The sequence below is a fragment of the Homo sapiens genome, chromosome 21, assembly GCF_000001405.40.
Source record: "Homo sapiens chromosome 21, GRCh38.p14 Primary Assembly".
Classification (NCBI taxonomy): domain Eukaryota; kingdom Metazoa; phylum Chordata; class Mammalia; order Primates; family Hominidae; genus Homo; species Homo sapiens.
In genome coordinates, this window is record NC_000021.9 from 36,777,887 (window position 1) to 36,792,409 (window position 14,523).

The window sequence follows — 14,523 nt, forward strand, 5'->3', positions numbered from 1 at the left end:
ATAAATCTATTTCTCATGAAATTTAATCTATTAGTTTTAGTATCCATGAATGATTCTTGCTTGAATCAATTATTATTTTTATTTATTTTTTATTTTTTTGGAGACACAGTCTCGCTCTGTCGCCCAGGCTGGAGTGCAGTGGCACGATCTCAGCTCACTGCAAGCTCCACCTCCCGGGTTCACACCATTCTCCTGCCTCAGCCTCCCAAGTAGCTGGGACTACAGGCGCCCGCCACCACGCCCGGCTAATTTTTTTGTATTTTTAGTAGAGATGGGGTTTCACCATGTTAGCCAGGATGGTCTTGATCTCCTGCCCTTGTGATCCGCCCACCTCTGCCTCCCAAAGTGCTGGGATTACAGGCGTGAGCCACTGTGCCTGGCTGCTTGAATCAATTATTATTATTATTTTTTGAGACAGAGTCTCACTCTATCACCCAGGCTGGAATGCAGTGGTGCAGCCTCCACTCACTGCAACCCCTGCCTCCTGGGTTCAGGCGATTCTCCTGCCACAGCCTCCCGAGTAGCTGGGATTACAGGTGTGCACCACCATACCCAGCTAATTTTTGTATTTTAGTACAGACAGGGTTTCTCCATGTTGACCAGGCTGGTCTCTAACTCCCGACCTCAGGCGATTCACCCGCCTCGGCCTCCCAAAGTGCTGAGATTACAGGTGTGAGCCACCGTGCCTGGCCTTGAATCAATTATTTACTTGATGGTTGCCAAACAGATTTTTCTGAACCATCATTTCTTCCATATTCACTTGTGAGGTTCTACTGTAAGGAGTAACTTTTTCTTCTCCCCTCCACTTATTATTTATCTTTTAATTTATTTATATCAGAGTAGACTTATAGATTCTTATTATTTCAGTAGATTGTATGCCTTCCTATCATTTTTTATTTTGATACTCAAATAGCCACATATCTGGCAAGTGAATGCTCCTTCAGTCTGGCTCCTGGGTCTTACTGGTGTGTCCCAGTCATCTTTCAGCATAAGAGGTCTCTACTTTCAGGCATAAGAGGTTCTAGGCTCATCTTGAACTTTCTCAGCCCCTGCCCTGGAATCAGCGATTTCTCCAAGGAGCTCTGGTTCCTTTTGGTGAAAAACGGTCTTTTAAAAAAACTGGGGCTAAGAAAGAGATAGAAAATGTGTGCATGTGTGTCTAGGGTGTATATATGCATTACAATTGTCCCTTGGTATTCATGGAGGATTTGTTCCAGACTGCCTCCCAAGTCCCACAGTGAGCTCTGTGGAACCTGAGTACACAAAAAATTGGCCTCCATATACATGGGTTTCACATCCCATGAATAATCTGCTTTGGTTGAAAAAATTCCATGTGTAGTAGACCCCTGCAGTTCATACCCCTGATGAATCAAAGGTCAACTGTATTTCCTTCCGTCCATCCATCCCTCCCTCCTTCCTTCCTTCCCTCCTTCCTTCTTTCTTTCTTCCTTCCTCTAGATTCTCATCTTCTTTCTCTATCTAATCTATCCATCTACCACCCATCCATCCATCCAGTTTGAAAACCATAAGTTCATCATAAACTCCAATCCAATCCAATACCACAAGGTTCATTCTAGCCCCTCCTTTTCTATATTCATAAATTCTTTCTCCAATAGTGGGAAATCTGGCTTGCATTATCTACACTATTTATTCATTTGCTCAATGCCATAATACACAGGGGGAAGTGGTCTCAGCAGTGCTGATCCATATTACTGCGAAATCACACTTACTAACTAGAGTTCAATATTTGTTTACAGTTTTTTTTGCCCTTAGCCTGAGGGTATAGATTCAAATATTGTATTGAACATTTCCTTGGATTTGTTCTTTTTTTTTTCCCCTTTACTTTAGTGTGGTTATTTTATTTGTCTGAAATCAGGTTAGGTTTAACTGTACTTCTATATTACATTTTACCCCCACACCCAAACCCCACCAATCCTTCTTTCTTTTTCATTGTTTAACCTGGTTCAGAGTCGGAACTGTACACAGACAAGTATACTCCGAGAAGTGTCACACTCCCCTACCCATTCCTTCTACCTAGGTCTCCCACTCCACCTCCTTTCTGTAAACCACAAATCAAAATCTCATTCATTTCTGGTTTATTCTTCCTGTGTTCCTTTTTGCACAAATGAATGGATACATGCATATTTTCTTATTTCCTTGTCTTCCTTACAGAAAGTTACCATTTTGTAGATGCTCTTTTGTCTCCCCCATCCACCTACCCCACACAATTAATATACCCGGGAACCACTAGGTTGCATACTCCTTATGAGAATCTAAGGCCTGATGATCTGAGGTGGAGCTGAGGCGGTGTTGCTAGTGCTGGGGAGCAGCTGCAAATAAGTTCATAGAGCTTTTCCTCATTTTTTCTTTTTTTCAGACGGAGTCTCACTCTGTTGCCCAGGCTGGAGTGCAGTGGCGCGATCCCAGGTTCACACCATTCTCCTGCCTCAGCCTCCCAAGTAGCTGGAACTACAGGTGCCCACCACCACGCCTGGCTTTTTTTTTGTATTTTTAGTAGAGATGGGGTTTCACCATGTTAGCCAGGATGGTCTCGATCTCCTGACCTCGTGATCCGCCTGCCTCAGCCTCCCAAAGTGCTGGGATTACAGGCATAAGCCACCGCACCCGGCTCCTCATTTCTTCTTAAAGCTGAGCAGACTCCATTCTGTGGATGTAGCACAGCCTCTTCAACCACTCTTTTATGTATAGGCATTTAGGTAGTTCCTAAAAGGACAGTATAATGAACACTCTTATTCGCATGGATTTTTATATTGCTGGAGGTATATCTTCAGGGTAAATTGCTGGAAGTGGGATGCTGAGCCAGAAGGTAAACACACTGGTAGCTTTATCAGATTCTGCCAGAACCCCCACTACTGCACACAGCCGCGCAGAGATACCTGTTTCCCTACAGCCTAACCAATGGACAGTGGCGTGTGTCTGTGCATGTGCGTGTGTATACACAGTCAATGACCAGTTAATGTCTTTTGAGTTAACTCAAAAGTTAAGAGTTTCTTATATATTAGGGCAGAGTCCCCAGCTCTGCCCCACCCCCCCACCCCCCAGGCTGCACAGCAGGAGGTGAGAAGCAGGCAGGCAGGTGAGTAAGAAAGCTAGAAAAGCTTCCTCTGTATTTACAGCCGCTCCCCACAGCTCACGTTACCACCTGAGCTCCACTTCCTGTCAGATCAGCGGCAGCATTAGATTCTCATAGGAGCCCTACTGTGAACTGCGCATGCAAGGGATCTAGGTTGCATACTCCTTATGAGAATCTAAGGCCTGATGATCTGAGGTGGAGCTGAGGCGGAGGTTGCAGTGAGCTGAGATCATGCCATTGCACTCCAGCCTAGACAACAGGAGCGTGAAACTCTGTCTCAAAAAAAAAAAAAAAAAAGCCTTGATGGTATTTTTAGTCTAAGTGCATTAAATGTATAAATTAACTTGGGGAGAACTGACCATCTTTGTGATTTTGAGTTGTCCTACCTATGAGCAAAGGATGACTTACATTTGTTCAAATATACTTTTGTGTCTTTCAGATTGTTTTAAAGTGATCTTGTGTTGATTGTGCATATTTCTTATGCACTATCTTACGTATTTTATCTTATTTGTTGCTATTATGAATATATCCCATAATTTCCTTTAACTAGTTATTGCTTGTTGTATATAAAAACTATTGATTTCTGTATAATAATTTTATATCCTGCTCTATTACTGAATTCTCTTATTGTTTGAGTTAGAGAATCACTGATTCTTTAAGGTTTCTCATTTCCTCTGCAAACAGATAGTTTTACTTCTTTTTCAATGATACCTTTAATTGACTTCTCTTGTCTGTTTGGATTGGCTAATACCTTTAGTACAATGCCAAACAGAGGTGGAGACAGTGGGCCTCCTTGCCATGTTTCTTAGTGTTTCCCTGCTATATAAGATGCTATCTAGGACTCACAGACACTTACAAGTCAGTAAATTATCCACTAAGTCCTATTTTTGGAATTTTTAAAAATCAGGACAGGGTGTTGAATTTTATAAAGTGTTTTCTCAGTATCTATGGAAATAATCATACATTTTTCTTTTTTGATCTATTAACATATTAATGAGTTAAGAGATCTATTAATTTTTTTAATATTAAACCAATCTTGCATTCCTAGAAAAAAAAATCACATTTGTCTTAATGTTAGATTCTGTTAGTTAATATTTATTTAGAATTTCTGCATTGATGCTCATTAGTGATACTGGCCTGTAATTTTTATACTGTCTTTAACAGATTTAAGTATCAATATTATTTACTTCATTGAAATGAATTTGAAAATTTTCCTTCATTTTTGATGAGCCCATCCTTTTTCCACTGAAGTACTCCTTCTGAGGAAGACTAAAAAAAAATTTCTGCCAATGATCCTGTAGGAAAATTCCAAAAGAAACCTTTTTGATTTCTTCTTGAAATAGCTTTCAGAACTCCTGTTCTCAATCAAATATCTTTGCACCTACAGGTCTATGTGAGGTACTTGCAGCACATGGGTAGTAAGACAATGAGTTTATATTAATGTGGACTACATTTAAGAATCTACATATAAGAACCTTAACTGAGGCTTTACCTTAATACTCCAGACAAACAGGCTGGAGACCTGACCTCCTTAAGAGGTCTGGACCAGTTCTGGTAGAGATCAGCCCAGAATGACCAGGCCTCTGAACATTCCACAAAACGTGTTCCATGGAGAGGGTGTAGAGGAGAATAGGGAGCATTACCGAACAGCAAAGGAAAACACTTTAAGACTCTCCTCAACCATTTCCATTAAAATTTCAGAAACAGGCCAGGTGCAGTGGCTCATGCCTGTAATCCCAGCACTTTTGGAGGCCGAGGCAGGTGGATCACCTGAGGTCAGGAGTTTGAGACCAACGTGGCCAACATAGTGAAACCCCATCTCTACTAAAAATACTACTAAAATACTACTAAAAATTAGCTGAGCATAGTGGCAGGCACCTGTAGTCCTAGATACTCACGAGGCTGAGGCACAAGAATCACTTGAACTTGGGAGGCAGAGACTGCCGAGATCACACCACTGCACTCCAGCCTGGGCGACAGAGTGAGACTCTGTCTCCGAAAAAAACCAAAACCAAAACAAAGAAAACCTCCAGAAACAGATGAGAACATATTTAGATGTTTTGTATTGTATTAATACTTTTTGCTCAATTTTAACAAATGCCTCAGTCTTTGCTAGGAGCTACCCACCTCAACAAGCATGGGTTCCTGGCCATACCATCAAGGTCACAGAGGCAAAGCTGCCTCCAGAGCTAGGCTCTCAAACAATGCTGCCCATCAGAATCGCCTGCAGTTTTAAAACACAAAGCAAAAACAAACTGATGCTAAGACCCCAGATACCCTCTGAATCCCAACCTCCAGAGCCAGAGCTTGGGTGTGTCCCAGATGATTAGAATGCAGCTGGTCCAAAGACTGGGGTTCTAAAACCACTGTTCCCAAAGCTATTTTTCAATGACTTTTTTAAAACTACATTTCTTTTAAAAAATTTCCAGAGCTACAACATCAAAGAGGCAGTAATTCTCTTCTGGTTCCTTCAATGATTGAAATGAAGCATCGCATTATTTTGATATTTACTAGGACGGCACAACAACAGTCCCACAGATGGAGAGATTTCATTTTCTAGAGCCAGAGGGTGGTAGGTAGTCGAGGAAAAGGAAAAAGGGGAAAGGAACAAAGAACTGGCATTCGGACACAAAGTGTGCACCACAAAGTGCCATTACGTGCAAGACAGCCACTTAGTGTGTCTGAATCCCTGTTGGTGTTCTGTCTCCCTACAGTGGCTTCATTCGCGATCACCAGATGTCAGGTCTGCCAGATGTCGTTTTTAGCACCATGAAGCATAGCAAGGGCTGGTGTCTCGCACACACACAAGCATGTGTGCACATGCACACACACACATGCACATACACACACACACATACATGCACAAATCCACACACACACACACTTGATTGCCACCTCAATATGGCAGGCTTCCAACAGTGAGCACACCAGCCAACATGGCACCATCTTTCCACTCACTGTAAGATTTCTCCAAGGTCTTATAAATGAATGAATGAACGGGCCATGGGGAAGGGGTATCTTCAGCTATAGATCTCAAGATTCTACACTGCAAGCAAGCCAGTGGTTCCTTTGACTGAGCACCCATCCACATGCTGGGCCCTTGGTATGAGCCATGTTCTCATTTAAATGTCCCAGTGACTCTCAAGACATCATCATTGCCAAGTAGTCTCATTTTACTGCTGATAAGTGGAAGCTACACCGCAGAAGTGGCCTGGTGAGATCAGAGAACAGTCAACCAGGTTTGCCTGGCTCAGAGGCCCATCTTCTGACTCACTAGGAAAGAATCTTTTGCTTTTATCAAAACAGAATTTCAAGGTAGAAATACCACCTCTTTTTTTTTTTTTTTTTTTTAATGAGACAGAGTCTTGCTCTTCACCCAGCCTGGAGTGCAGCGGCACTATCTCAGCTCACTGAACCCTCTACCTCCCAGGTTCGAGCAATTCTCGTGCCTCAGCCACCTAAGTAGCTGGGACTACAGGCATGTGCCACCATGCTTGGCTAATTTTTGTATTTTTAGTAGAGATCGGGTTTTGCCATGTTGGCCAGGCTGGTCTTGAACTCCTGACCTCAGGTGATCCACCCACCTCAGCTTCCGAAAGTGCTAGGATTACAGGCGTGAGCCACCATGCCCGGCCGGCCAGCCTCTTAAAATGCATTTGTGTAAGTTTAACAGTCCTGGAGGCTATAAGGCTTTCTAGAAAGATCTGGAAATTGACTTCCAAATAATAACATCAAAATGGGGTTCTTGCTTTATCTTTTTTTCTGAGAACTGAAACAGAGTCACCTTACATTTTCTAAAAGTAAATACTACCAGCTTGGTGGCCAAGTTCATCAGTTCTGTGCTATGTGTCTGAACAGTTATTTTCCCAGCTCTGTACGTATTCTGCTTCAAATACTTCATTTTCCCTTATGAAATTTACATAAATTATAATACTAATAAGAAGTTTCTTTACCTACAGAGTGAAGGGGCATCTGAAACACCTGGGCAAACAAAGGAACCTGAAGGTAACGAATTCCTTCCTACAGAAGGGCAGCTCCACCCGGCCACTTGGGCCCTTGATTTTACCCCAGGTACCGTCGCCTTCGGGGTAATGACAAGGAAGAATGCCCTGCCCTGCCAGCTGGCCTGAAAACCAGTGTGCCTTTCACCACCCTGACGCCCTGTGTGTCACCTTCCTCTTTCCCTCTCTCGGCTCCCACCTCTCTTCAGAGCCTTCCCTGCACCCCGCCCTGCCAGAGATCAACCAACACGCCAGAGCTCGTTTGCCGGGATGCTTAGCACCAGCTTAACTCTTCACTCAGTGGGACAAGGGGCCTCTTTCTTTCAGGCAGGGCTTTGCTCCATGACACGCTGGGTTTATGGCCCCCGTGAACGAAACCTGGTTCGGAATCCAATTCTACAACAGATTTTCGTTCAAATGGTTATTTTCCATCCCTTGCCCCCAATTCCATTTTCTACCCATCTCTCCCGGCTCTCTGCCTGTGGGGGCTGACCCCTTGAGACCTGGGTGGATTCGTGCTTCTGGGTGGGTTCTGTGCTGGCAAGACATTTTATATCCTGTTCTCTTACTGAATCCTTGTACTGTTTGTTTAGTTTGATCGTTTATTCTCAAGGTTTCCCAGATATACTACAATATCATCCACAGATAGAGTTTTACTTCTTTTCTGATTCTTAGGTCTCCAGTTGGCTTCCGTGTCCACTTGGATTGGGTAATACCTCCAGGATGATGCTAAGTATTATAGAAGTGGAGGCAGTGGGTGTATCCTGGCCTTGTTCCTCCTGATCTCTGTGGAAATGCTCTTAGGTTTCCCCAAGAAGCAGGATGCTAGCTTTAGGACTCTGGATCTCACCCACTCCCTCCCACCTATGAGTCTTTGGAAAATACTATTTCCTCCCTTGCTATTTCAGGCCCAGGTGGCAGAACTCCTCTCTCTGGGGACCCCTCCATTGTGTGTTTTCCCTTCCACAGGATTCTGAGTTGGATCCTGTGTCTGTCTGTGGCCCTGAGAGCTGCAGGTATCGACTACAGGCTCAGCATGGTGGGATGGGCTGTATCCTCAACCCTGTTTCAACAGGGACACTTCTGCTAGGAGAGGAGAATGGGCCCAGATGTAAAGCTGCCCTTCTCCAGGGTTTCCTGAACCTTCTGGTCTCTTTGCCTTCATCTTGCCTCTTCCTGCTCCGTTAAAAAGAAAATGCTTCCCATTTGTTAATTGTTGAGAGTGTATGCTGCTGTTTTATTTTGCTTGACATCTTACAATCAATCTTCTGTATATGTTTATATATGCTTTTCTATTTAAGCTTTTTTTTTTTTTAAATCTAAAAAACACAGTACCATACCGCCAAAGGTGTCAGGAAACACGCTCAAATAAGGAAGGGCTCCAAAGACTGCTTTGCCAACAAAATGCCAGTAAAATCTGAAACCCAGGTTCAGACACACTGGGAACGTTCCAAAATTTAAAACTTAAAGAACTTCTTTATTCCAGTAAATCAGCTTCCCTGTGAATACCATCAAAATCCTGGGCTTTAATGAGTAAGGGAATATCAGAGGAAGGGGTGGAGAAGGAAAGGATTTGGACGAGCACAAAATTTAATTTAAAAACTATTATGAGAAGTTTAATTTCCCCTCCCCCAACCAAACACATAAATCTTTTCCATGCATTTTCTTTGTTTCGGTTTTTCCTAAAAAATCTGGAGAGGGAAAGGCATCTTGAACCATCTGAAATGACAGAGTCAGTGGAGTCTTTAATAATAAATATGTGTTTATTGGATTCCTATGAATTAAATGACATATTAGCTATATGGGAGGATCCAAGGAAATCGTAAGCAAAATTGCATTCTCACCGAATGTGTAATCAACCAGGGAGAAAAGACATTGATGGGAAGGATAACGAGTGATATGAGGCCTTGGGCCTCTTAAGGAGTAGGGACAACAGAGGTGTCAGAGTCCAGGCGGGGATGGCTCACTTCGGCAGGGGTGGTCGGGGCCCAGCACACCCCCAAGTGCACTGAAAGATGCGACCATGTAGGGAGAATGAAGCTGGCCTTCACAGTTCATAATTCCATCCACAGGCAGCACTGAGTGCAGCCACATTTCAACATTGGAACTTTCCAGGGCGAAGAAGCACTGAACACGTCGCAAGAGCATGGACTTCCTAGGTTTTCACCAGGCCACGCGTGAGCATGGGGCTGTGGGTGTCGGTGTGCCTCAGCACTGCCACGTCCACTCTGAGTGCAGGTCCGGCTCAGTTTTGGATGTTCCTCCGAGAGCAGTCCTCCAGGGCCACCGTGGGACGAGGCACCTCTTTGGTAGGCCATTTGCACTCCAGCACGGCCTCTGTTCCTAACCACAATGGGCTGCTGGTTCAAGGACTCCCTGCCACAGCCAGGAGGCACAGAAGACCCCATGGAGGCACTTGGCTGGTTAAGACCCGCAGGGGTCACCTGCCTAGGCTTAGCCTCAATCTCCTTGTAGATAAAACTGGACCCTAACCCTTCACTGCCCAGGGCCCCTAGGGAATAAATGTGCCATGCTGCGTGGGATGCCCAAGGAGAGTTCTGTGGCATTTATTTAGCCACACTGGTTCCTCTCCCCTGGTTTCTTTTCATCATCAAATGGACATGATGGAAAGCTCCTTTGCGGTCTTTCTAGGAGAGGAGGCGGCACCTATATTCCAGATGCAGCCATTTCACAACCAGGCGCTGCTTCCTGGTCAGAGCCGCTCGACCATGAGGATATTCTACAGAAAGAGAACTCAGCTCTCTCCTTCCTACCTCACATGACCCTAAGGAAAGTTAAGAAAAGAGGAAAAGACCTGTGAAGATGCCTGATCAGCTGTCAGGGTTACGTAGACACTGGCTGCTGTTATTTACTGTTCCCTGGCTGATAAAATAGCCAGGTCACCTGTGCCGATGACCAGACCCACCCCCTACCCACCAGCAGGGCTGCCAGGGCTTTCTGGGGAGACGCTGCAGCTTGGTTCTTATTTCCTTTGCTCTGCATCCCTCTGGGTTGACTTGAGTCTGATCATGGGTTTATTCCATTTCCATTTTGCTAGATTCCCTCCACTCCCTCAAGCTTCTACAAAACTGTGGGGCCACCACTCCCCACAAAAGATTAAAACCAAGATGTTTCCTAGAGGTGGCATTTTGTCTTCCTGAAGCTGTTCTGTGCACAGGTCCTCTCCACACTCATGCCAAATGCTCGGTGAAGCGTCTTCCTGAATGTCCCTAAGGGGCACGTGCCACTGGCAGAGCTGATGGGCACACCTCACTCCCACACATGCTGTGCCGAGCTCATGACTCAGCTGTGCAGGGCCCGCCCAAGAGTGAGGCAAACACCAACACCGCACAGCGACCCTTTGTCAATGGTGGGGACCTCAGTGGCTTCTCCATCGGAACTTAGGGCTGACGGGCCTCCAGACCTACTGTTACACACTGGCCCACGGAATGACCCTCATAAACCCAAGAACAGTAAACAGAGCTTAACATTCTAACGAAATCAAGATTGCTGTGTGTGCTTTCACAAAATGAAACTGCCTGGAACTTCTCATAACGTTTTTTATGATAAGCATTAAAATGCAAAGAGGAAGATTAAAGTTCCTGCTACAGACCAGAGCAGTAATGAGTGTGGGAGGAGGAGCTCTGGGTAGGGTCTGGGAGAGAGGTTTATGTACTGCATTACAGTTGGATATTATTATATAAAATGAGTGTGTTATTAAAAGGATCCTGAAGTTATAAAAACTCAAAGGAACTTTTACTGAGGATGAATAACTTCTTTGGTAAAGATGAATGACTCTCACGTCCTAGACACTGAGGTGCAGTCACGTGCCAGAGCTCTTTAATTGCTAGTAGTTGGATTTCGTTGTTTTTGTGGGGCACTTTTTTGCGGGGGAAGGGGCAGAAAGATTAGGAATACATTCTTTGATTAGGAAAGTTCTAGTGGGTAAGAGAAAGTCCCTCTAGTTAGTAACTGAGAATCTTGATTATCCTACTAGAAAAAGGCAATAAGAAGACGCATCTCCTATGGCCATAACAGCCACCTGATTTTTTTTGCTCTACTTCTTTTAATTTTGTTTGTTTGTTTGTTTTCAGACAGACTCTCATTCTGTTGCCCAGGCTAAAGTGCAGTGGTGCAATCATAGCTCACTGCAGGCTTGACCTCCCGGGCTCAAGCCATCCTCCCACCTCAGCCTCCCAAGTAACTGGGACCACAGGTGTGTGCCACCATGCCTGGCTAATTTTTAAATTTTTTCTAGAGACAGGGTCTTGCTATGTTGCCCAGGCTGGTTGTTCGACTTCTTAAACAGTACATACCACCTCATCCATTTAATGTTACAAACACAATGAAATCAGTAAGTCAGAAAACTGTAGAGTGATGTGGTGAAAAACATTCTTTTTAAATGTAGTTCTACTTATTTTAAATACATTTAATTAACTAAAATTATACCAGAATATGGCTTTGGGCTTGATCTACTCAAGTAATTTATACATTTTCCCTATAATTTTGTTTGTGTCCATAAACTAGGAAATTTCCATGTAATCTGTATCAAGACAATCACAAATTCTAAATTAGTGAAGACCAAAGTAATGTTTCCCTTTACCATGGTTGGAAGTGTACAGGATATTTGGTTTATTAATTTTAAAAATTATGAGAGTAATCCCGACAGTCTGGAAAACAGAAACAAAAGATTTCATCACACATACTAACACAACGATTGCCACCTTACGCATTTTCTAGTCCTTTCTCAAAGATGCATGTTTTAAGATTTTAATCTACGAATTAATAATTTATTGAAACCTGCTTTTTACTTTAAGTGGTCTGAGCATTTCTGTATCTTGCCATAGTCTTTCTGCTGATGGACAATATTCCATTGAGTGAGTGTGTACAGAGTACTTAACTATACATCTTTGTGAGTATGAACTTTCCGATGTATCTGATCATTTCTTAAGGGTAGATTACTAGAAGTGGTATCAATGGGTCAAGGATATTAACTTTTTACAACTCCTGATGCCTACTGCCACACTGCTTTTCAAGAGGTTGCTCTAATGTACACTCCCACTGGGGTTTGAACAAGGCTTAAAAGTACCTGTTTCATTATATCCTTGCCCACCCTGGGTATTATCATTAAAAACCGTTTTGGGCCTGGCGCAGTGGCTCATGCCTATAATCCCAGCACTTTGGGAGGCCAAGGTGGGCCCATCACGAGGTCAGGAGATCAAGACCATCCTAGCCAACATGGTGAAACCCTGTCTCTACTAAAAATACAAAAATTAGCTGGGTGTGGTGGGGTGCACCTGTAATCCCAGCTACTCAGGAGGCTGAGGCAGGAGAATTGCTTGAACCCAGGAGGTGAAGGTTACAGTGAGCTGAGATCGTGCGACTGCACTCCAGCCTGGCGATGGAGTGGGACCCCATCTCAAAACAAACAAACAAACAAACAAAAAAACATTTTGGTGTGTGTGTTTGTTGGCTGATGTAGAGGGTGAAAACAGCCAACAAACACACCAAAATCATGGAGGATTAGGAAGTGGGACCTATGGTGTTTCCTTGGCTCTTCATTCAGATTGAAGACAGGAAACAACCACATAGACATATTCTGTATCTGGCTGCCTTTCCCATGATCTTACGCTTCCGTGGCTCAATGGCTGCCTTTCCCACGATCTTATGCTTTTGATCATCCATGGAGAAAAACGCAAACGGACGCAGGAATGCTCCAATCTGGGCTGTGAAGGCTCAGACAGGCAGGAGGCTGTCTGCCCAGGAAGGCAGGTCAGAAGCTGCTATTAACCACTCTGGCAGGGCAGTGTTTCTGTCAGCCTGCAGAGCACTTCAGGTTCTGGGAGCAGCTGATGGCAGAACTGTGGTGTTCTCTCCGTGGAAAAAAAATGAGGAAGTCAGCAAAATGTTCTTAAGCCATTCCGTCCACCATTTTGTCCATCTGTGTTGATTTGGCAGTGGTGTTGGCAAAGAACCTGGGTGTAGGACAATGTGCTTTGTAAACAGAAGAAAATGAAATGATAGATGCAGGGGTGCCTTTGTTTGAGCTTGCTTGTATTTAAAGTTGGCTAAATATGCCTCAGCAGAGATCTTTGGGGACATGAATCATAATAGAAAAAAACAGCAACATATAGGCTTGTCCAAAATAAAACCTGCTCACCGTGCCTCAGGTAACCCTAAGAAGCGTCCTCTGTTGTAAAAACAATTCAAATACATACCAAGTAGCAAGAATCGCATAAGGAAACCCCACATAGGATGTCCGGGGCAACAACATGCAGACCCCCACCCCTGCCGGAGCCGAGTACACACCAACCCACACATCCAGGGCTCTGGGCAGCGGTGACTGTTCAGTGAGACCGCTTTCAGCATTTGCGAGAAGCTGCTCACCAACTGCCAAGTTCCTGCTGGGTCGGCCAAGAGGTATGAACCAAAAATGAAAAAACATGAAAGGTTTGTTTTTTAAAGGCAATACATCAAACATAAAAAGAGCCCTTTTGTATGAATTTTCAGTGTGGGAGCCAGAGAGGAGAAAAAATCATTTTCCCTCCTGGGAGGAAGCAGTTTGACCTCACCTGCGACTTTTCTCTTACGGTGTGGATTTTTCTCACCCCATTAAATGTAACCTACTCTAGGTGGGTTAGTACCATGTGAGAGAAATAGGGGGTGATGGGGAATATGGCAGACAGGCAGGCTGGGGCTCAGACAGAATGCCGAGCACCCTCGAGGGTGGGCCCTCGAGGGCCACGGAAGCGGGTGCCACGGGGCTGCATGGAATGCGGCTGCTCCAAGGGGCCTGTTTGCTGGACACACAAGGATTAAGTTTCCATGGCTCCAAAACCCTTGCAGCCTCCCACCCCACCCCCGGCAAAAGCACTCTTTGCAAAAGGAAAGGAAAAAAGAACAACCAAGTTAGAATGGGGTTATCTTCTTACCACTTTCACAAAGAAAGGGCTGGCTGGGATGGACACAGCAGGTTTCCCACTGTGAAGCCATCAGAAAGGCAGCGGAAAAAAACCTCATGGCAGTTAGGTGTGGGCCAGCCACACAGACAGGAACAAGCGAGCTTTCAAACCTAGAAGGTGAGTGCGCTACCTGTCAGCGTTCACAGGACTTTGCTCTGAAGAACAGTAAAAGACCATCTCAGCACCGGGTCCCTAAATCCCCTTCCCATTAACCAGGTGCCAATAGTGAAACCTAGAAGGGGACCCTGGTAAATCACCCGGCGGCTACCCCGCAGGCTCCCAGCGCTACGCTCTGGGGACCGTCAGCCTTTTCTTCTGTCACACAGCAGGAGAATGAGCTCACTTTGGCATCTGTGTGACCAGGGACGGCTGCCATCTGTGTGTCACTGTTATCAGTGGTCAGAGCAGAAGTAGCAGGTGGAACCATGTGAAATCCCTAACATTCAACCGTTTAGACCTGCAAAAA

General features: G+C 44.6%; 1 protein-coding gene and 1 long non-coding RNA gene across 15 annotated transcripts in view, besides 1 other annotated feature; one reads left to right on the top strand and one right to left on the bottom strand.

Annotated features, from left to right (window-relative positions):
• Window positions 1–14,523, bottom strand: part of HLCS (holocarboxylase synthetase) — a 241,587-nt gene that overhangs the window by 29,262 nt on the left and 197,802 nt on the right. The gene's annotated exons all lie outside the window — the stretch shown is intronic.
• The window catches only part of LOC105369305 (uncharacterized), a 35,810-nt gene continuing 21,287 nt past the window's right edge, over window positions 1–14,523 (top strand). Inside the window, exon 1 of the long non-coding RNA XR_937700.3 lies at window positions 1–14,523. This exon is cut by the window's right edge and continues 19,748 nt beyond it. This is a non-coding gene — a long non-coding RNA (uncharacterized LOC105369305).
• Window positions 8,798–9,333: an enhancer, noted in NCBI's record as "H3K27ac-H3K4me1 hESC enhancer chr21:38158985-38159520 (GRCh37/hg19 assembly coordinates)". NCBI's record gives its function as "activates a minimal SCP1, AML or CMV promoter by ChIP-STARR-seq in naive H9 embryonic stem cells {active_cell/tissue: H9 hESC(naive)}" and the evidence as "EXISTENCE:reporter gene assay evidence [ECO:0000049][PMID:30033119]".